The sequence below is a fragment of the Homo sapiens genome, chromosome 13 (genome assembly GCF_000001405.40).
Source record: "Homo sapiens chromosome 13, GRCh38.p14 Primary Assembly".
NCBI lineage: Eukaryota > Metazoa > Chordata > Mammalia > Primates > Hominidae > Homo > Homo sapiens.
The window spans coordinates 70,117,279-70,141,360 of record NC_000013.11 but is presented as its reverse complement, the minus strand read 5'-3'; the positions used below and the strand labels follow the sequence as shown (position 1 = coordinate 70,141,360).

At 33.6% G+C, this 24,082-nt stretch overlaps 1 non-coding gene across 10 annotated transcripts in view, besides 4 other annotated features; it reads right to left on the bottom strand.

Moving 5' to 3' along the window:
- The window catches only part of ATXN8OS (ATXN8 opposite strand lncRNA), a 64,318-nt gene that overhangs the window by 30,378 nt on the left and 9,858 nt on the right, over positions 1–24,082 (bottom strand). For 4 of the 10 annotated variants that reach the window (NR_185834.1, NR_185837.1, NR_185835.1 and 1 more), the window contains exon 3: positions 11,477–11,577. This is a non-coding gene — a non-coding RNA (ATXN8 opposite strand lncRNA). Of the gene's footprint in view, positions 1–1,607; positions 2,121–9,410; positions 10,684–11,476; positions 11,578–24,082 lie in introns of those variants that run through there. The other 6 variants (NR_185836.1, NR_185840.1, NR_185838.1 and 3 more) reach the window with 3 other exon arrangements.
- Positions 1,932–1,977: a tandem repeat.
- Positions 1,932–2,009: a biological region, named in NCBI's record as "ATXN8 opposite strand (non-protein coding) repeat instability region".
- Positions 1,933–1,977: a repeat instability region, noted in NCBI's record as "repeat instability region; expansion of the (CTG)n trinucleotide repeat is associated with spinocerebellar ataxia type 8". NCBI's record gives the evidence for it as "EXISTENCE:polymerase chain reaction evidence [ECO:0000082][PMID:10192387]".
- Positions 1,978–2,009: a tandem repeat, noted in NCBI's record as "nucleotide motif; polymorphic, but stable (CTA)n repeat".

Below are 24,082 nucleotides of genomic sequence, written 5' to 3'. Positions count from 1 at the left end.
TTGCCACATGCAGTTGGGTGAGTTGAACACTGTGCAATATGTAAGGAGGTGTTATTCAAACTACAGACACTATAGATTTAATATTTATTACAACATATTTCCAGGAGATAGCAGTAAAATATATCGATGACGAAAGAGGTATTTGTTATGATAGTCTTAACAGATAAGAGCAAAGAAACTTGAGGAAGGATCAACTTTTTCCCATTCACATAAAATTACTGTAAGAACTAGGGAAGCCTTGAGGATGTACAGCAAGAAAATACAGTGCCTGAGAAGGCTTATCAAGGCTTCAAACTCATCACTAAATATAAAAACTAAATATAGTCTTTTATTGTTCAGACTACAAGTAAATGGTTCAACTATGGTAGGAATGAGACTCAGTTTATCCACTGTAATCACTAATCCCAACACATACAGGAGTGGACCTCTACAACTATGTCCATCGTAGATAGCCTTGTCTCTACTGACCATAGCTTATTTGATCTCAAGTAGAAACCTGGCCCACAAAGACCAGTTCATAGAATAAGCTGGAACACTCAGTGTCTTTTTTTTTTCTTTCAAATAATTTGAATTTGAGATTACTAAAACAGGGTTAGGGGGCATTAAATCAGGAAAATGATATAAAACCATTTTTCACCACATGCATAGAAAAACAAAGAAAGTTCATCTGCAGAAGAGATAAAGTGCCTAAAGAGGAATACACATTCAGAGGATTCCTGAGTTATACATAATTGGGTGAAGACATTCTATGAGTGTTATCATAGCTATGAACCATTGAATTACTTTTATTTATGACTTTAACATTTCTTCTCCGTTTTTTTTTTTTTGTGTGTGTGTGTGTTATGGTAAGCAAATTCTAGGGGAAGTGAAATTAGTAACTCTACACATTGTTTAAAACACATGCCCTAAATTTTGGCATTATTAGTTACAATAACTCAGTGCATATACAGAATGAAAGTATTTAAGATACAGATAGGCTCACCTAGTGAAGAAGTAGAGTGGACATTGTTATTACATGAATAAAAATAAATTCTTCAAATTTATCGAATACTTACTCCAGTAACTTTTTAAGATGGTCAGAAAATACAAAAATAAATAACTTATTGTTGACAGAGGAACACTTTGGTCATATTTTATTATAATTTCCACATGAAAATAATAAATTCAAAGCACTTAGCATAGTTTGACTCAGTATGTACTTGTAATATACTAACTCCATCAGTTTCTACCACTGCTCCTACTTTTAGTGCAGAGTAATAATTAGGCTCTGACTTTTTCTTGATTCAGTCAGAGAATTTTTTATGAAGAGTTGTAGCCCTAATTACTAGCTACTAAATTTAAAAGTTAGAGTGTGTTATTTTTTATTTTTTGGTGTATGGGAGAACTATATGGGTTTAGGTTCCAGCAGATTATAATCTATAATATGTCTACATTAAAACATCATAAACCTTGAAAATATCCAAAACTTTCAAAAATCGTGATTAAAAAACAGAGCTAGGAATTCATTCCTTGCTTACAAGAATAGTTGTATAGAAATGTCAGTGAAGCAAGAAGGTACCTTTATAAAGGAAAATAAAGCATTCATCCACTTAAATAATTTATGTTATGCACCTTCTATTGGGAGCAAAATGACTAATATACAGTGAATACTGTTTCCTACACTCAAACTCTGTGAGAAATTCCACTAAGTATATTGGTTGCTACAATTTTCTTTGATAAACATTGTGTTTGAGAAAGGCTTGTGAGGACTGAGAATGCACAAGAGAGAGCAACTAACTCAACATCAGATAATTTTTGGAAGGATGTATTGAAAAATCAATTCTTTATTCATAAATTCTTAAGTAAGAGATAAGCAGTATGAGGAAGTGTGGAAAAATATATAACAATTATAACATCAAATAGTAAAATAAGATAATATATTTTTAAAAAATGCAGCAGCAGCAGCAGCAGCAGCAGCAGCAGCAGCAGCAGCAGCAGTAGTAGTAGTAGTAGTAGTAGTAGTAGTAGTAAAGCCAGGTTTTCTAACATGAAGGACCCAGGGTCTAGCCAAGGAATTGGGAATAGGGCTTCAGCCAACAGAGTTAATCTCTCCGTGGAAGCTGGGAGTCAGAAAAGGCAATCTGAATGCAAGGACAAATGAGGAAATAGTAGAGAATATCAGACACAGACTATAGAATGTCTCAGAAGTAAAAACTAGAATGACAGGTCAAGATGGTTAGTCTGGAGCCAAGAACTAGGAAAAACCTAAAGGTATTATTTACCAAAATATGATAGGTACTTCTCATACTTCGATAAATGATTTAAGATAAATGTGTTGACATTTAAGAAGTACTATATATGCAATTCATACTGCATATTTTAAAATGTAAAATTACCAGTGACTTCATGAATATTACCAATGAGAAAAACAGTAAGGCTGGTAGGGTGGCAGATCTTATAAATTATAGGCATGAATTCCAATAAGTCTTTCATTGAATCAACCACTATAACTACTTGGTATAAATTATTTAAATTATTAATGAGAATTATCGTGTACTAGACTTCATTATGAATTTTTACATTATTTTAAATTAAAGGTTAAAATGTTACCTCTAATTACTAATAATTGTTTAGTGTATGGAATTTGTATAAATATAGAAAGTATAGATTGGTATTTAGTTATGTTCCCTTCCTCTCTCCTCTTTCATTTTGGAATGCATACTATATTAGTGATTAATTTTTTTAACAGCTAAATATTGAAATGATGAATATTATTGGTGACTGTGAACAAAACTGCCAAATATTTGTGTCTGTTGAGTTTATTAATAAATCTATAGCACCTAGAACTGAGACACTCAATAAATATTTTCTGAATGAATAAATATAATGAGATAGGTTTATAAAACCCAGATCAAAACACAATGACAATAGAACCTATTTTTTGCATTTTAAAATTTTCAGCTTTAAATGAAATAAAATTAACAAATTTGATAAAAAATTAACATTTAAAATTTAGATTTTCGCAGCTTGGTAATGAAAGTTAACTTTTTTTTTTTTTAATTTAAATCTGGTCTCATCTTCAGGATCAGAGCTATCCAGCCTGAAAAATCTCTTGAAGGTACAAGTAACTGAATTAAATTTAATGTATTGTTAAAGCCAAGTCTAAAATTGCAATAGTCCTGATAAACAAAATGTAGCACAACAGGGGGAAACATTGCAAGCGATATGGTCTGGCTCTGTGTCGGCACCCAAATCTCATGTTGAATTGTAAGCCCCAATGTTGGAGGAGGGATTTGGTGGAAAGTGATTGGATCACGTGGGCGGATTTCCGCCATGTTGTTCTCGTGATAATAAGTTCTCTCAAGGTCTGGTCATTTAAAAGTGTGTAGCACTTCCCCCTTTGCTCTCTCTATCCCCTGCTCCACCATGGTAAAATGTGCTTTCTTCCCCTTCACTTTCTGTCTTGTTTGTAAGTTTCCTGAGGCTTACCAGCCATGCTTCCTGTACAGACCATGGAACTGTGAGTCAATTAAACCTCTTTTTTTCATAAATTATCCAGTCTCAGGTTGTTCTTTATAGCCATGTAAGAATTGACTAATACAGTAAGTATTAAGTAGTTATTTTATAACATTTTATTGCAAATATCACAGCAGTTATCACAGTTGAGATAATTCTCAGGGTCCTTATTAAACCTGCTTTAAAATGATCTGGAGCCAGAAAAACAGTATCATTGCTGAAGTACAGTAGTTCTTCATTTTGGAATTAGAGATGCATTTAGAAATGTAAATTATCTATAATAATTCAAATCAAAATAGTGTACTACAAACAAAATCTGGTCATGTCAGTTCACCTAAACTTTTCCATTTTGTCAGATGAAATATAAATAACGAAGTCCATTTAGCTCTGCCAAACTAGAAGGACCCATATGAATGGAGAATATCTTCTAAAATATATCAGTGCTTTCATAGCAAATATCACCATGGCATAGAAATAACATATTGAGATAAGCTGAACCAATAAGAGGTGTTTCACATAGATAAACTGCTGCTTTTGCTACAAAATCTAGCCATGAATATGACACTTTGACCCTGGAGATACAGAAATGTTAAGATAACTACTTAAAGCTGCTAAACATCTTAATTGCATTAAGGAGCGATTCCGCTGAATTTTAAAATTGTTTGACAAGATTTTTAAAGAAATAAACCAGTGACTATTAATGATTATTGTTTTATACTGAAGTTTATAGGCTATTATGTAAGAAAAGTTCTGGATATTCTAAATTTCAAAGAACAAGTCTTTCTCGATGAAATTGTTGATCTTCAAGGAACTTTGAATGATTGGCAATGGAATTGCAGATCTCTCTCATGTGTTAAGTCTTTCTTGACAGTGATCACATCTCAGAAGGGATCCTCCTTCTGGCCAGTATCGCAACTAAACACTGGAATCTTGTCTGTGATGTGGAACACGCTTCTATTAAACTGAACAAAATCTAGTAAAATAGCCTTGTGTTCTGAAGTTTTAAGTAGTTCTGTTCATTTCCCTACGAAACGTTTATTTTATATTGTTGTAAGTTGAAATAATTTTACTTCATTACTTTTACTATAATAATTTGTTTAAGTATATATTAAAACCTATTAAATGGAACTAAGTTTGGCTGAAAGTAAAAGAAGCACTCAAAAGAACTGTGTCTTGAGAAAAGCAAAACTTTCTCTCTCTCTCATGTATGAGTCTAGAGGTGGGAGGTCTAGGTCTGTAAGGGAGTTCTCCTGCTAGCGGTCTTGATGATTTCCTGAATACGAGGAGATTTTTAAAATTGTAAGAACTGGAAAGACTGTAAGATTTAGCTTGGGCAAATGAGTGGCATGAGTACCATTAAGTGAATACTATTAAATGAAATAATTATACTTAATATTATACAAATTTTATTATAAATATTAATATAAAAGGCAAAAAAGTAGGATACAATTTGGATATGATGTGGTGAAGTTATAGATGTACAGAATTTTAAAATGTGTATTTGGATCTTGGAAGACTGTTCTTGTATTATTAAATTAAAAAATAGGAGACCTCAGTTAATGTCTGAGGCTATCCCTGTACTTTGAGTTGCTATATAACGAACTGCAACCTAAATTAGTACATAAACCAAAATCTAACTTAGGAGAATATTATTTCATAACAAATAGCCAGATTTCTACCAATTACATACAACTGAGCTTCAGCCAATCACAGGCAAACAACTGATCAGACTTGCCCCCGCAAAAGAAATGCCTCTTTGCACCAACAAATAAGTCAGACACCTACCTGTAGCCAATCAGAGGATTTTCTAATTTGCTTCTGTGTTTGGCCTCTAAAAACCCACTGCTCACACTGTTCAGCAGAACTCTCTGCATCTGTTCTGTTTTAGAGTGCGGCCTAATTTATCAATTGTTCTTGCTCAGATAAATATCATTAATTTAATTTGTGTAAAAGTTTTCTTATAACAGCCTGAAATGCCATATTTGAAAATCATCCATTTACCACTGGTAGTTTTGTTTTGTTTTTTAGATAATTGATTCAATTTTATGTCATGTACTATATATCTGGTTAGTCACTATAAATTCATGATCAAAAAATGAGTGACAGAAGAATCTTAATAGTGGTACACCCATGAGTGTCACCAAGATAATTCTGCCTTGGATTTCCTATCATGAAATTTGTACATAGTAGTGCAGATAAGAAGTGCTGTTATTAAGGGAAAGGAATGTAAGAAAAAAAGTTCAATATGGACCCATGTAAATTATAGATGTTGTCAGAACTTCCCAGTAGGAAGCAGAATCATGAGTCCATACTCAAGGAAGAAGGTGATATGAGAAATAGAAATCTGGACATTACCACAATTACGATGGCCAAGTATACCATAGGAATAGACAGTTTATCAAAAAAGGGAGTGTAGAGTGAGAAGATAAAATTAAAGAGAGAGAGAGAGAGAGCCATTAAGTAAAAGACACAATAATTAATGAGAACAGTAACCATGTGGTCAATGAAATAGGATAAGGAGTTTGGTGTCATGGAAACTGAATTAATAGCTTATAAAAGAAGTGGAGAAATAGTATTGACAAACCTGAACTAAAGATCTGACGTGTCACATAGGGGCCCAAAAAAGGAGGGGCAAGTTCTTCCCTTAGGGACCTTGTGACTGCAGTGAAGTAATGACTTATAATGGGTTTCTGGAATACTCAAAATGATAATAAAGAAAAAGTCAGGCAAAGAAAAGGAAATTGAGGAAAAGTGGATTGGGTGGACTTGCAGCCTCTGTTCAGAACTGAAGTTTATGATTGTTGGGCTAGGTAGTCTCGTCCTTGCAGTCTTTGATTTCTGCTCAGCCACATAAGAATAGGAATGGGCACTGGGCCTGAAACACTTCCATCCCAAGAGAACAAGAGTCCACACAGCCTGTGCTGGGCTTATCACCTCGTGTGGGGATATCTTTTCCCGTTTCAGACTCAAGGTGTGCTCCTCCTTTATCCAGGCCAAGCATGTGTGTCAGTGGCCCTCAGATATGCCCTCAGATTTTGGTACTTCAGACTTCATAGGGGACAGATTGCAGTCCTTCTATTCTGGTACATGTAAGCCAGTTGCCCTGTGTTGATTTCCAAGGGCAGCCACTAGCCATGGTGGACTGAGGCACGCCACTGTAGCTAATCTAGCTCTGTCTCTTTTCTATTCAGGAAACACATTGTTGAATCCAGTGCTTGCCTCTATCATGTTTTCCTTGGCAATTGCCATAGGAAGTTGCACTGAGTAGACATGTTTAGATTTCTCTTCCTGTCGGCTGGCTTTGGGATGAGCTTTGCTATCCTCCATGTAGTTGGAGTCCTTCCCTGGCATGGTAACCAGTGCATGGAGTTCTGCTCAACGAGCATCCTTTCTATGAAGGCAAGCTGCTGGCCACCATGAGACATGCGCCCAATTCTGTACCTGCCTGTGCAGCATTTAGGGCTATGAAGATTATGTCTCCTATAATGCTGAGGCATCAATGTTCCATTCTTTGATGAGCTTGTCATCACCACTAAACACAAATTAAAATATAAAATGCTTCACTCAGTTTTCTGTGCATAGGAGAGAGATTGCAATTGCTCTTCTCTGAATCTTTATTGTTTGAATCCTAAGTATGTCTTCTATGTTTTGTAATTTACACTTAGTTTGACAATACGGATGGCCTACAGGTACCTGTTATTTACCTGTTGGTCCATTCAAATATGTAAGCTCTTGTTAGTAAGTGATATCCTCAAATGACAAAAATCCTGTTATTTAGCTGATTTTTTATCCTTTTCATTATCAGACAAAAAATAAAAAATAAAAATAAAACACAACAACCCGATATTTTTCTAGAAATACTGAGAATGGCAAAGGAATTTACTAGGCCAATGAATAAAATGTGATTCCAGCTTGTTAATTTCTGGAAGGATATGACTGACTTTCTATATTGTTCTCATCTTAGAGGACTGCCGTAACACAGTACCAGAAAGTGGGTGGCTTAAAACAACATAAATCTGTTGTCTCATAGTTGTAGTTGTGGAGGCTACAAGTCCAGAATGAATATGTGAGCAGGACCATATATTTTCTAATCCTGTAGGGGAGCATCTCCCTGACTCTCCCAACGGCTGGGAGCCCCAAGCATTCCTTGGCTGTAGCAGCCCAACTCCAGTCTCTGCCTTTCTATGTCTGTATTTTTTCAAGCCTTTTTTCTGTGTTTCTGTTTTCTCATCTTATAAGAATAGCAGTCATATGGAATTGGGACCTACCACAAATTATTAGGACCTCATCTTAAATAATTATATCTGCAAAGACCTAATTTCCAAATATTGTTACATTCACAGGTACATGGCATTAGGAATTAAACGTATCTTTGTGGGGAAACACAGTTAACCATTAGAAACTTTTCATTACTAAAAATCCAATACTTAAATATTACAGTACATATTCCTTTATGCTATTTTTTTCACTGTTTCACTGTTTAAGGGGCATGGTCATAGCTCACTGCAGCTTTGAACTCCTAGGTTCAAGAAATCTTCCCACTTCAGCTTCTCAAGTAGCTAGGACTACAGGCGCACACCATCACATCTGGGTATTTTTTAAATTTTATTATTTTTACTTTTTGTAGACACAAGGTCTCACCATGTTACCAAGGCTGCTCTCGAAATCCTGGCTTCAGGCAATCCTTCTGCCTCAGCCCCACAAAGTGCTAGGATTACAGGCGTGAGCCTCCATGCCCAGGCACCTTCATCCTATTTCTGATACAGCCATAAACTGCCTCTCCTAGCTCTATCGAAGTGAGGCATAACTAGGTGATTGATTACTGATCAATGCAATGATAGTTTAAGGGTTGAATATTAGTCCCAACCCTGGCTGTAGAGATTTTAGAGGCTACAGCTTGAAATAGTGGCTTCCATGACAATGCAATCCACTTAGGTGACAGAGTCACATTTAGGAAAGATCTTCCAGACACCTCTACATTGGACTTTGCACATGCAAAAAAAAAAATAGACTTTAGTTGTTAAGCTAATAATACAGCCCCTTGACTAATATGCACATTTATATGAAGAGGTTGCACAGTCAAATGTTCATTATTGAATTATTTAACATGTTATCTAAAATGAAGGCCAATAAATGTGTAGAATTCTCTCAATCACACAATTTAGGGTTCATGTTATCTTCATAGAGCTAATCTCTCAATATGTAGTCTATCTCAATGAGCAATATGCATATATTTTTAATTTTCAACTTTTATTTTAGATTTGGGGGTACATGTGCAAGTTTCTTACCTGGGTATATTGTGTATGCTAAGGTTTAGGATAAGAATGATTCTGTAACCCAGGAGGTGAGCGTAGTACCCAAGAGTTAGTTTTTCAGCCCTTTTAATCCATCCCTTCCCCATCTAGTAGTCTCCAATGTCTATTGTTGCCATCTTTATTTCTATGAGTAATGTTTAGCTCTCCCTTATAAGCAGTATTTGGTTTTCTGTTCCTGCATTATTTCACTTAGGATAATGGCCTCCAGCTGCATCTATGTTGCTGCCAAAAAAAAAAAAAAAATCATAATTTTGTTTTTTTATGGCTGTGTAGTATTCCATGGTATATATATGCCACATTTTCTTTATTTAGTCCCCCCACTGAAGGACACTTAGGTTGATTCCATGTCTTTGCTATTGTGAATAGTCCAGTAAGCAATATATTTTCAAAGAGTAAAATAAACTTCTGATAAGTAAATAATGTCCCTAAGTATTTTCAATGCATTATAAAAGTGAACTAAAAATTTTAACATGAATGCTATTTAAATATCTGGAAAGTAAAAGTTTTACCAGATTTTTCTTCTGGCAATGATCAATTGTGATTCTCCTTGTTATCTATTTGGAACACATATAGGTATGTGCCATGCAAACGTGTTTAGACTAGTGTATCTGTATTCATATCTTTATTCATTTATACATTCACACAATGGCTTAACAGATATTTTGGCACCTATTTTGTTTAATACTTTGTTAGGAGTTAGGTGTCGCATAGTGAAATAAATAGGCAGACTCAGCTTGCATTGAGTTTACAGAACATGGCAGTGAGAGGAAATTAAATAAAAACAAGGATGCAGTTGTACACACTTACCAAAGTGTTATGAAGGAAAGACAGAGGGAGGTATGAAAGTATACAGCAAGGGAAAATGATCTAGTCTGGGTTGGCCAGAGAATGTCTCCATGAGAAAAGGATATCTGAGCTGAGCTCTAAACACGGAGGAGAATGAACTGAACTGAGGGAAGTGGTAAAAAGTATTTAATGTGGAGGAAAGAAGCAGTCCAAAGGCATTGAGGGGAAAGTAATATTTAATTACAGGAATATAGAGAGCATGTAAAAAAATATGTAAAATGAGACTGGAGAAAAGGTAAGGGACAGAAGTGACTGGAAGCTGCTGGCCCTGTTAGAGACCTGTTCTATAAACTGAGACAGATACGTGTCACGGTCATATATGCAATTTAAAAATGCATTTCTGCTTACAGCTTGGAGAGGAAAAAACTGATTTATGGAAAAATTTAGGGGACATCTGTAGCATTTTAGGTAAGAGATGTTCATAGCATAGACTAGGAGTGTTGGAAATGAAGAGAAGTAAATTAATTGTACAAATATTTAGGATGTATACATGTACACATTGTGACAGATATACTTCTTACTCTCTATATTGACTTTCCTTAGGACACCATTCCTGCTTATGGTATGTGTGTGCCCTTGGATATTCTTACACATGTATTGGGAAGAGCAGGGAAGAATGTGGATAAGAGATAAGACAAAATTGGTCAAAGAATAATCACCTGTTGAGAATTTCACTTCCTAACTCTCTTTAAGATATTCAGTCAATTCAGTGTTCTTACTCCCAATAAGCGCAATTTCCCTTCTATTAAAATACGTCATCTTCCTTTATTTTTTCCATAGTTAACATGAGAGATTTATCTATACTATCTCTGGTTTGGGATGGACCTTCTTGTATGATTTGCTGCCTTCTCTATACCTTCAACAAGTTGTTCTTCATTCTCCCTGGTCATTGGGGTCCCAGTTCTGCAGGTACTCCGAGGTGAAGTCTGTTTTATTATTAGAAACACAGAACACTTGTCGTAAATAGTCTTGGATTATGCCAGATATATTTAAATGTTTTTCTTCCCTCTCTCTCTGAAGTTTGAATCTGAAATGGAAACCAGCATGCTTACTTGTGCATTCCTAGACATTTTTGTTGCTCTGCATTACTTACCCATCTCTCCCACAACTCACACCCACCATTGGTATCTCAAAAGTTGTTTCTTTTTGTTTTAAAATACTTCCCCTACATCACATTATGCATATCTGTATCACGCATTCTTCCTGCAATAGGCTTATCACAATAAAGTTTACATTTTAGTCTCTCCAAATGTATTTTATATTCTTCAAGCCTTCTTAGTATGTTAATATGAACTTTTGTTATTAGTAAGCGTGTGCTCATTTCTACAAAACGTGAATTTAAAGATAAACATTTTTCCATATATACACATTAATCCTTAATTTTAAAGTCATGGTTGAGTAAAGACCTATTTGTTTTTAACTGCATCTGACCTACACAGGATTTAATGATTCAAAGCTGGAAAAGGTAGGAGAAATTAAATTTACATGTAATAAAAAAAGAAATGTGTTTAGTGTATCGCAACATATGTGGTGTAATTATGTCTTTCCTCTTACTAAGAATGGCATTTTCTTTCATCACAAGATGGCATCTGGATACTTAGTGAAGCTTAGATATCAAGTAGATTGGAGAGAAAGTCCATGGTCCATGCACTTAACTTATTTGCTATCTTGTTGAAAAGTTCCCTTTCAATATCCTCTTGATTGCTAGGCTGGAATTGACTAACATGTAGTTGATCCACCATATATTTTTTTAATATCAAGGAGGCACTAATGGCACACACCTGGCCATTATCACCAGTACAACCTTTTGATGTTTTTACCTTGTTCCCGCTTGACTCTGAGCCATTCTCTTCTCAACACTTCAACTTCCTATACATACATCCTTCTAGGATTTTTGTCATTGATGGGGTGGTTGCCATAGCTATTGCAATTAAAGCAGAGAGAGAGTTCAGGTTAAAACATAAGGAGACACTTAGAATAATATTTTGCTAGTCTGTACAGATGGTTGAAGTAATTCTACTTATAAGAACATTTCTAAATGAACTTTAAACATCAAACACCTTTAGAACATAGTAACATATAAAAATACATATAATTATAGGTTCACGTAAAGGACTTTTTAAAAGTTAGGTATAATTAACTAAATATATTGCATTACATGACCTTGTATTAAACACAAGATAGGGAGGACTCATCTTGAGTATATCTGCATAGAGGGAGTTGTATTAGAAAGAAAGCCTGAGTGTATCCAAGGACCAAGAAAGAAATACCAGCAAGCTTCTTCGATTAGTGAAAACATAACACACACACACACACACACACACACACAGAAAAATACAAGCACTAATATTATTTTTAATCTGACAGTTCATAATCCAAGTATGATTATATTTAAGAAATCTGTTAACAACATACCAATCCTTCAAATAAACTATTTTGTTGAAAAACACAATAACTATAACATATAGCTATATTATTGTTGTATACAATTTATCTGTTCTTCTAAACATAATGAACTGAACAGCTCTAAAAATTGATTTTTGTGGGCCCGGCATGGTGGCTCACGCCTGTACTCCCAGCACTTTGGGAGGCCGAGGCAGGTGGATCGTCTGAGGTCAGGAGTTTGTGACCAGCCTGACCAACATGGTGAAACCCTGTCTCTACTAAATACAAAAAATTAGCTGGGCGTGGTGGTGCATGCCTGTAATCCCAGCTACTTGGGAGGCTGAGGCAGGAGAATCGCTTGAACCTGGGAGGTGGAGGTTGCAGTGAGCTGGGATTGCGCCACTGCACTCCAGTGTGGGCAACAAGAGCAAAAGAAAAACTCTGTCTCAAAAAAAAAAAAAGGTGGGGGGATTTTGTTGTTGTTGTTGTTGGCCAAATCTAGCATTTTAGAGCCATATTTCATACACATAAGATACCTTAAAGAGATATACGAACATTGAGGGCTTCAGGACACTGCGGGGAAGAATCTCAATATTTTAGTATACAAAAAAAATAAACACAAGAGTAAATTTTGCATTATGGGAAACAGTATACCAGTTGGTAAAACTAGTTACACTGCATATGTGTTAGCATTTTTAAACATGGGTTTATGTCTGAATCAATAATTCTGAGCCTTTGAAATGCACTACTGAGATTGTAATTTTTTTTTTTTTAATTTTTAAGCTCAAGTCAATAGAAGCTCATCTTAATGCTACCTCTAAAGTAAGGTGTTTCTACTCTTCAAGACCATTTGCCCTCCCCTTCTTAGTACAACTACGGGTTCAGCCTTTTGATTCCTTCAACAGAGTTAAGTGAAGAAAGAAAATGAATTACATTGTAAAAGACAGTTATGGGGCACTAATGTTCAGAAAGAACAGTGGGTATGAACATCATGTAGATATCCAACTGTGTTAAAAAGAATCTTGGTAAAGTGGACCCCAGCTGTGTTATTCTAGATGCCCATTTTCACTTAATGACCATTAGACAGGCAATAAAGCCATTAGTGGATGTCTGTAATGTAAGAAACAACTTTCAGGTAAATCAAGTTTTAAATGCCTAAGCTTGTAAGGCGAAATAAACAAAAGTATGACAAAAGGTTATTTTTCAATTAATGTAAACCTTCTATAAACTGTTTTTCATACTAACCTATCCCTAGTAAAATTCATATGTAATTATATGAATTATATATAATTTAATAAAATAGTAAAATAAATATGTAACAACATTGTTCATTATATAACAACATAAAATGAAAGTACCTTAAAGCAGGAAGGAGTGTTAGTGAAAACTCGCTCACTCATTTATCACGCATTCTCTTAAATCATGAATTCTATCTACAATTAAGTAAACAGGTGAATAAATTGTCATCTGTTTAGCCTCTGCTTGAATAAGTTAGCCTCTGCTTGGATAATTCTGAAAACTGAAATGCACTGCTTAATTTTTATTAGACAGTATTGCTTTTTAATAACATGATTAATGATTTGATGTTTGTACTCTCTAACTACACCCACAAAATTTTCACTATGCTCTATGAGGCAAAGAAAAAAAAAAATGTTTGTTTTCATATGTCAGGCCTCCAGATATCTGGTGAAAGTACGTGTTGTGGGCAGGTAGCATCATGGCTTTTTTCTTCAATCTGGTTTCTAAAGTCAATATTCTCAATGTCTTTGAAATTCTATTTTTATGAAATACATGATTATAGAAATCATGGTCATATATCTTAACATTTACATATATACCTCTCTATGTTAGTTTATTTTTAGAACACTAAGTTAATTTATTTCAATTAATTATGTGCATAATTCTTAATATTCTTTCGATGATATCTAATTCTCAAGGATAACAACATTTTATTATGCTTAGAAATCTTCATATTAAAAGTTTAGTTTTAACCTCATTATTAAAGAACAGCTAGCAATACTCTTACTAAAATCACAAAGTTAATAGGATCTAGATCTCCTACCTTGAGCAATTTCCATCTCATTAGGTCATAGCTATTTTAAGGATTGATGCATATCCAAATAATAGAAAGAATTAAGTGACATAAAAATGAGATAAATTATTGAGCTATTATCCAATTTGAATTTATTTACAGTTTTTGATTTTAAACTTTCTTTCTGTCTCTGTCTCTCTGAGATGGAAATAGATAAAGACATAGAGAAAGAGACAGAGAGATAGAGTGACAGAGCTTAAGATTCATAATACAAAACTGTATATAAATCCAAAACATATTATAGTTGATATATGTATCTATAGATAGATATATAGTGTATATATAGATAGGTACATATAGATATACAGATACAGAGGTTACAGATACAGAGTTATCTATAGAAAACTCTATAAATGTGTAAACTCTGTATCTGTTGATATATAGATACGGATATACAGATATAAGGTTATCTTTATCTATTTGTAGATATAGATCTAGATATGTATAGAAATCTGTAGATCTAGATATCCATTTATGTCTATTTATAGATGTCTATTTATAGATGTGTAAACTGTACATATCTATCTAAACTGTAATACATCTATCTACCGAGACATAGCTATCTGCCTATAGATATATCTATCTACCTGCCCATGTAAGATTTCATATATATATATATAATATGTCTAGATAGATAGAAATAGTTTACATCGATCTATTTATGTATATAATATATACACAGATAGATAGGTATAGAGAGATATATGGTTTACTCATATGTCTATATCTATTCATCTACCTGTATGGAGAAAGAGAGAGCACAACTTAGCCTAATTTATAGTTAGAAATAAATAGGCCATGTATTGAATCTATCAGTCAGATTAAGCACCTTACCCACCTCATATCCTACCATGAATTCCTTGGTATTAGAGGAAATATATATGTTTAGCTTTTTTTGTACCATGAGAAAGTGAGGGAACATTAGCTGTCCATGTATCTATTTATGAAACTTGTATCTTTGTATTTATGTATACATATCTATTACTTTGCTTGCAGTGTATCATGGACAGGAAATAAACTTTTGGAAATATTGAAAAAGTAAAAAGATGATGAGCTTACAATGGCCAGAGAAAGTCAGATGTTAACACTTGTACAAATATATAATTGCGGAATTGGGGACACTCCTAAGCATGCTACAAGCACAGATTCTAAAGATAAAATAAAACCAGGAAGGTCCTTCTTGTAATAGTCAGGATGGCAATTGCGAGCCTGCGTTAGTAGCACCAGATGATTTGGCCCCTTCTCCTTTGCATCACACCGCTTGTCTTTAGCTAAAGTAAACAGGCATATTTGTACCCCTGTCCCTCTGCCCTCCTCCCACAACCCCCGGTGGTGGGGTTTGGGAGTAAGAGAAGCAGAGCAGGTATTCTCGGTTATATGTAAAGTCTAGGAGGAATGTGGAGACCTGACATTCAGAAGCCAGCACAGACCAGCTGACTGTGCATCAGTGAAACATCCCTGGCATCAATATCTGCAACTGATTGATAGAGATGCAAGCAGAAATTCTCAGAACAAAGATGAGGAGGCAACCAAACATCATCAAACATTTCAGAAAACTCACCACTACCTAAAAGAAAACAAAAGCTCACCCAAGGAAAAACAAGTATTCCAGTTCATGTGTAAAATAGTGGTTTTAGGAATTTAAAATATGGGCATCAACAAAAACTCAATAGGTAGATATCCTATGTGAGTGTCAATTCGAACAAACAAACCTGGAGAAATATCAGATAGGGAAATTTGAGTACCCATTGAATACTTGATGATGTTATGAAATTATTGTAATTTTTGTCTGATTATGGTATGGCGTTTACCTCGTAAGGAAAAGATCTCTTATTCATTGGATGCACATAAATATGTTTGTATCTAAAATGACGTACCTTCTGGGATTTTCTTCAAAATATATTGACAAGTAGTTGGGTGATGTGGATAGAAGTAGAAATTTAAGAAGATTGTCCATAAAAAGAAAATAAAGTTTGGATGAAGGGTACATAAGACCTCATAATACCATTGTCTGTATTTTGCATATAGTTTATATTGAGAAATAGCAGAGGATACAAAGATAATGAGTTACAGAAAAGATTTTTAAAAATTAGGGTAATTGATAGGTATACCCTAAAAATTCAGTGGTGAATGAAACCTCCATAATTTACAACTTCGTGTAATTGATATTCGAAGAGGAGGGAGTAAAATATATGCGGTTTTTAAAAAGAGCTGAAACCAAACACAACCACTAAGAACTTCAGCACAGCCCATTGAGTTAAATTAGAATGAATGCAAGCCAAAAAAAAAAAAACCCTCAAATTACACACATTGTAGAATAACATTAAATGAAAGAGAATAAAGAAGAAATTAAAAATCCTTTAAAGGTAATTAAATAGAAGATTGGCTATGCAAGCAATTATATATCTGTATTTCAAAGCTAGACTATTAGTGTACAAAGGAGATGACAACGATATATCTTCAGTAATTAGTGGTTGAAAAAAATAGTGAATTGATTGGCGAGGCTTGGGGAAAACCAGATTTCCGGGGAAAAAAAACAATAACAACAACCAAACAAACAAAAAACAAGGGGATTGAGTGCTACTGAGATCTTCTATCACTAGAGTTCACAGTTAACTGAGTCATTCATTTAATTACTTTCCCTCCCTTTTATTGTTTTTCTAAGGTACCAAACACATGGCTAAAGTCTTTTCAATTGCTTCCCTCATGCCTGTTGGTAACTGCTAAACTCCCGTCCACCCTCCTACCTATTTATTCAGGCTTTTTCTTGATTGTCATCTTATCAGAGAGGCTTTCTCTAACCATAGTATCTAATGTAGCTGTTGCAGCTCCACTCAGCATTCTCTATTTATTTGGTTGCTTCATTTTTCTGCACACAACCTCGTGACATTATTTACTTATATATTTGCTTGTGTATCTTTTCCCACAAGGATGTAAGTGCTATAAAGCATCTAGAATAGGTTTCACAAAAGTGTGAAGCAGGTGACATTATTAATTATTTAATGTTTTGGGAAGGAAAGAGCTGAGACCGCCCACCAATATTTGCTTGGGAAATGATGGTTACTTGCTAATACACAAAGGCAAAAAATAATACAGGACTGTATGTTCTTTATACTTTCTTTAAATGCTAAGGAAATAATATAAAGAAAAATGGCATGTGAAATTTAATAACAAATGCTTTTCACTAGATTTAATGTCGTGTCTCTAAATCTATTATGTACAAATTAAATTAACAAAATAAATTCAATCCTGTTTGTATTTCATCAAGGAAAATCTTATTTTCAAAAAGCCTACACCTTAAATTTAACATACTCTGAAATGACATTTTAGCGATTGAACTGTAAATTACAAATAACACCAATGTTATATATTCTTTATATATTCTGATCTTAAATAAATACAATAATTCAAAAAGTGAGATCCTTGGTGACAACCTCAGGCACTAAGTTAAATATTTATTATGAGAATTTTCTGTGTACAAATAACTCCTTTCTTCCTAGACTTCTCTTTTTGATATGTATTTTTCATTACTTAATGGTGAATTGTTATTGGCTTAACATAATATATTTGGGATTTTTTTCCCTTACCCAAATAGTTCTCATTTGATTTTTGTGGACAGAATATAGGATCTTACCTATCAGTAGTATTTTCAGATCTTTTCTAAGTTTAGCAGAGTTACAGTGGTACAAGCCTTCACCAACTGTCCACTGCCTTCACAAGGTGACCTTTACACCTAGGCTATGTCGTAGGAACATAGGGGTGTTCACACTAAAAATAGGTAATACCTTCAATAGTAAATACAACTTTGAACATTCTTCACATTTACTCTCAATATTCACTCTAGTGACTAGAGATGATGGCCAAAGATTTTGACAACATAAATCTTGCTGTACTTTACTATTAGTTAATCAATGTAATAATCTAAAATTGCCATTAAAGAGTTTATTGTTAAGATGCACAATTATTCCTTGACATCAACTTCAATTAGTTACAACTTATGGGCATCAGTAAATTATTTCAATATTTAAACTTCAGTAATATTTTCTATCTATAGTATCTGGCAAAATCTAAGAGTTTTGCAATTTACTTATTACTTAATAATGTATTTATCATGGAGAATTTCGATTTAGAGACAGGATATAGGAAGACCTAGATTAATATTTGCTCAGTAACTTCTATATGTTGAACCTTATGATAAAATATATATTTAATTTATTTTTCCACAAAAGCTTGTGAAGTATTATAATTTCAGTTTTACAAATTAGAAAACAAAGTCTCTAAGAGAATTTGGAATTATTTCAAGTTTACACAAGTTAGTAAGTTCTAGAGCTGGAATTAAAATCCAGGTCTGGTTGCTTTCAGAGTAAGATCTATCTGTATCATTTTCAGATTTTGGTAGATTTTTATAATATTCCTCTCATTTAACCAAGATCAAATGCCTATCTTTGTATCTCTCCCTTTGAGTCATTTCCTTGAACCCTTCCTTATTTCAATTTCTTATCTTTGGACTTGTTGAATTCTATTACGTTTTACATAAACTGTTTTGAAAGAATCCTCAAATATACATACCATAGTTTCATAAAAATGTACAAATATTTATGTTTCTTTTATAAACATTAGAAGAAATGTCATTTTGACTCATGGAGAGTTTCAGTTTATTTATTTCTCAGCCGTACACATTTGTTTTATGAATCTTCTCTTTGAGATAATTTTGATGTAGATCTCTCTCTAAGAAGGACAGGAGATAATGAATGACATTGCATGTTTTATTCAGTTAATTTTCAAGGATTTATAAGTATTTACAATAACATTTTATTTAGAGCTGTATAACTCTCAAGTTAAATCGTAAGACAAAATGGACTACTAATGCTTTAGTGTTAGAAAACTTTGCATTTAGGAAGTTTAAATTGTAAGTTAAAGATGTAATACTAGATGAACAAAAGACAATAGAATTGAGTTAATCTTCAGAGGAATTGAGGCTAGAATGGTGGTAGAGTAAAATTTTTGAGTTTTCCCAGGTACAATTTCTGGGACACATGTCAGTTGCACTCCTATATTGGCAATATAGGTTTAAAATCTATTGTTCTTTCTTGGGATAAAGCATTGTGGATTATGAACATCTTTCCTCAATTTGTGCAAGAAGGGATTAGTGTGGTATGGTGCTTTCAGGATATCTAGAACATAATTCTAAAAATGCAAGACACAAATAAAAAATGTGCACAGGTTATATAATTTTTAAATCTTTAGATTAATAATCTAAAAATATTAATAACTGCCACTGCTGTCTTTCAAATTTACTTCATCCCACAAAATCCTTTCAATTCATTCATTATACCAATCTCTTTCCTGACCCGATTAATTGCACATAACATTCCTCCTTCTTCTTGCTTTTCCCATGGTGTGCTGCTTCTCATCTCTAAGATCTTACCTTTACTCTCACTTCTAAAGATCGCTATTTTCCTTTTAAAAGTCATCACAGTTTATAACATAAGATAATATATGTTAAAGTACTTGAGAATATACAATTTCTTGTGCTGTAAATCATATCTATTTATGAAATATCAATTCTAGTTCTACATTTCCTAAATTAAGAGAGCTCATCTGTATGAATGAAAGCATTAATACCCTCCAGCTTCTTATTTCTGAACCTTGTTACTGAATGATTCTTGGCTACATTATTGAGTCTCTGGGTGGAGAAAAAAAATATTTCCGGATGATTCATTTCTTTCTTTTGACTCTTACTTTCTCTAATCCAATACAGGTCACCTTTCTTAAAATCTTAAATTATACACCCTTTCCCTCCTTGAAAGACTTCACTCAGTTTCTATTGGAGATAGAATTAAAATCAAACTCTATGCTATGAAATAAAACTCTCTAACACTATCTCTTCCCTCTCCTCCCACACTATCATGAGCAGTGATCTTTATGTTCCTTTGATATCCCATCCTCTTTGCTACCCGAGTGGCTTTCAGTAGTCATTCCCTGTCTAATTTGTGAGGTTTCCTGCTCTTATGTTGATCATTTCCTTGTATTTTTCAGATTCCATTTATTTATTCTCTTTGTCTTTTCTATCTCTTATTCTATTTTTTATCTTTTCTCTCCTTTAGATCAGTTCTAACCTCAAGTTGACAAGGATGGCTTCTCTCTTTTTTTTTTATTATACTTTAAGTTTTAGGTTACATGTGCACAACGTGCAGGTTAGTTACATATGTATACATGTGCCATGTTGGTGTGCTGCACCCAGAAACTTGTCATTTAACATTAGGTATATCTCCAAATGCTATCCCTCCCGCCTCCCCCCACCCCACAACAGGCCCCGGTTTGTGATGTTCCCCTTCCTGCGTCCATGTGTTCTCATTGTTCAGTTCCCACCTATGAGTGAGAACATGTGATGTTTGGTTTTTTGTCCTTGTGATAGTTTGCTGAGAATGATGGTTTCCAGCTTCATCCATGTCCCTACAAAGGACATGAACTCATCATTTTTTATGGCTGCATAGTATTCCATGGTGTATATGTGCAGATTTTATTTAAAGCAGAGAACTGTCAGTGCATTGTCATTTTCCACCTCACCAAATGGTTACTTACCAAAACATTGAGCTATTTTTATTGTTTAGTTCTTTACGGTTTTTCTCACTAAATAAAGTGCAAGCTCTGTATGGATAGTGGAAGCTTGCTTTATAGTGCATGGTTATATGCCTAAAGCAAGTGTTCAGTAAATACTTGTTCCATGACTGAATAGACTCCAACAATTTAATGACAAATATTTGATGGCCTCCTCCTAATAGTCTAAATTATTATTAAAAATTTAACTCTGTCTATATTAGATGGTCTTGTTCTAACCAAATGTTACATTAGTTAAATCACTAACTTAATTAAAGGCCATCAGCAGATTTCTCCTTACTGATTCTCTATTTTTTGTATAGTAGTTCTCCTGAATCTTTTTGACATCATTGAAACCATTGCTCAACTATATCTTAACATTCTTAAAATTCCTTTTTATTTTCTTTTGGGATATCCTATTGAAAGGGGACATATTAAAGGTAATGTGGGTCACTGACACCTTAAAACTCCCATAACCTCCATGGTAATGATAAAATAACAAGAAAAAATTGCAAATATGTGGAGTTCAATGTCTGCTATAAGTTGATTCCACTTAAATTATTTACCTTTTTAATGCCTATCAATTCTTACGTGTCACATGAGTTGAACTACTACTGTCTGTCAAAAATAAGTAAATGTAAACTGCAGGTTAAATATACATATTCCAAAATGCTTGGGACCATAAATGTTTTCAGATTTTGCATTTTTTTTTGTGAAATATTTGCATATATATCATGAAATATCTTGTGGATGGAACCCAAGTTTCAACATGAAATTCATTCATGTTTCATAATCACTGACTTTATACACATAGTCTGAAGATAATTTTACATAATATTCAAGTTTTTTTGAGCATGACAAAAAGGTTTGACTGAGTTTTGACTTCTGCCTGTCACATGAAGTCAGGTGCTAAATTTTTCACTTATGTCATCAGGTCATCATTCAAAAAGTTCCAGATGTTAGAACTGTTTGGGTTTGGAATTTTCATATTACAGATGTTCAACCTGTATTTTTTTCACTTTAAAGTTATTGATTTTTATTATTCACTGTAATTTGAATCCCTTCAAACTCCATGTGCATGTATACACACGATATCATTTGAATAGAGAACAATCAGTTCACACTGTAATAACAGCTTTACTCTAAAGATTTATTAGAGATCACAACCCAGAGCAGAGGAAAATGGGGCTCAGAACTGGGTCAGAGAAAGACAATCTTATAAGAGAAAGTAAGCAACTTTAAGAGTTATTATGTTGCATATGAAAATTAAAATTTTATAACTCTCTATAGCCTGTAAAATTCTCTCTTGTTAAAAAAATGGACTCCTGTAGGGCTGACTGTGTGATTGCTAGAGAACTGTGTGATTGCTAACTAGGCCTCTCTGACCTCATTTTTGTAAGTTTGAGAGACAAGCATGAGAAATAATTGTGAAAAACTGATGCATAAGCTGTATGTATATTATAAGAGTAAGGGTTTAAAACATCTTTTTGTGGGGTTAGTTAGACTTTACAATCCTTCTTTTGTGTGTGTCTGTCTTCTGCCAAGATATGTCCCTGTCCACTTGACTGCACAGGGCTGAGCACACAGCTGATTCTCAATACTGACTGATTGATTTATTGAAATATTCAGTGGTTTCAATTAGCTTTCCATGGCTTGACATATTTTTGAGTGCCAGAAATCTATAGTCTGGGTTTGCAATGCTCGTATAAAAGTATATATCTGAGCCAAGATTGTGCCACTGCACTCCAGCCTGGGCAACAAGAGCTAAACTCTGTCTCAAAAAAAAAAAAAAGTATATATCTGTAAGAGTATATCAGAAATAATAAATGAATCTTCTGGTAAGCTTGTTCTGTTGAATATAAGTGCCAATTTTAGTTTCCACAGGCAGGAATCTACAAAATCAGAGGAAATTTTAAGTCTATTTTATAATACAAATTATTCTAGCATTCTGTGATAGTCATAAAAATAACATAAGTGTAGAAAAGTTAGCTTACTGATAGCCTGTTTCTTTGAAACAAATTAATTTTTTAAAAAAATTTCCAGTCTCTCTCTCTCTTCCTCTCTATGTATAAATGAAATATATAAATGCATATATGTATATATGGCATTCTTACTCAAAACCAGAAATGTGACTAGCATGTCATTTGAATAAATTTTTTTTCTACAAAAAATCCCACAATGATGGCTTTATAATGCATTATATCTGGTAGATAATATCCATAAATTCCATATACCCAGTTCAATAAATATTAATGGTCAGGTTTCATAACTGACAAAATAACCTCTAGTTTTCCTAGTAAAATTTATTGTTTCACTCACACTATCAGAGATTTACTTAGTGAAATGTCATTTCTGTTAAGTTCCTTACAGACTATTGCCAAGATTTTTTTTGTAATCTAAATTACTTATTCATTAACTTCTCATTATTCTCCCAACTCACAGGAGAGGATAAAATTAACTTAAGTGATTTGTCAACTGAAGCAAATATTTTATTACAGTTCTCCTACTTGAAATGATTTTAGAATATCCCTAATATGCAGACATCTATGAATTCTGACTATTCCTAGAACAAAATAATGTAAAAGATTGATTTTCAATTTTTGTCATTGACTTACAAAACTACAAGCTCACCAAAAAATCAATGTTGTGATTAATCAGTGATTCTATGTTGTGAATACTCAAGTGAATAGTAATCTGGATATTTTACAAAATGCCTTTGAAAGTTGCAAAGCCAACTAAGTATTGAAAGCTTTATTTTTAAACTTTTTTTTACAACAATATAAAGGTCATTTAAATATACAAATATTTTCAAAGTAAACATCAATATCTACCTTTACTTAGACACCAACAATGTGCTACTTGTTTAACAGGTTTTATTTTATTTGACCTACACGTTAACTTCTATTTTGCAGATAAGAAAGCTGAGACTCAAAGAAATTAAGTACTTTGCCCAAGGTTATACAAATTGTAAGCAGCAGAGAAGGGTTTGGGTCATGATTTGATTTCAAAGCCTGTGACGTTCCATTCTACAATGTTGCTTTCCAGTCAGTAGGCAACTAGGAGGAATAATGCACATACTGTTTTTCAAATGTTATAATTTAAATGCTTTATGCAAATATCTTTATAGGATGCACTGCTCAAGCTGTGACTTCTTGCACTGCCCATAGCATTTTTGTCAATCCTTGAAGAGTGAGGAAGAGCTTTGATTATCCCTCTAGCTAAATTTGAAATGCACCAGGAAAAAGCATAGTTTTTTTCATTTTTATAATTGTATATATTTAAAGTATACAACATGATGTTTTGATATAGGTATATATAGTTAACTGATTACCACAGTTAAGCAAATCAA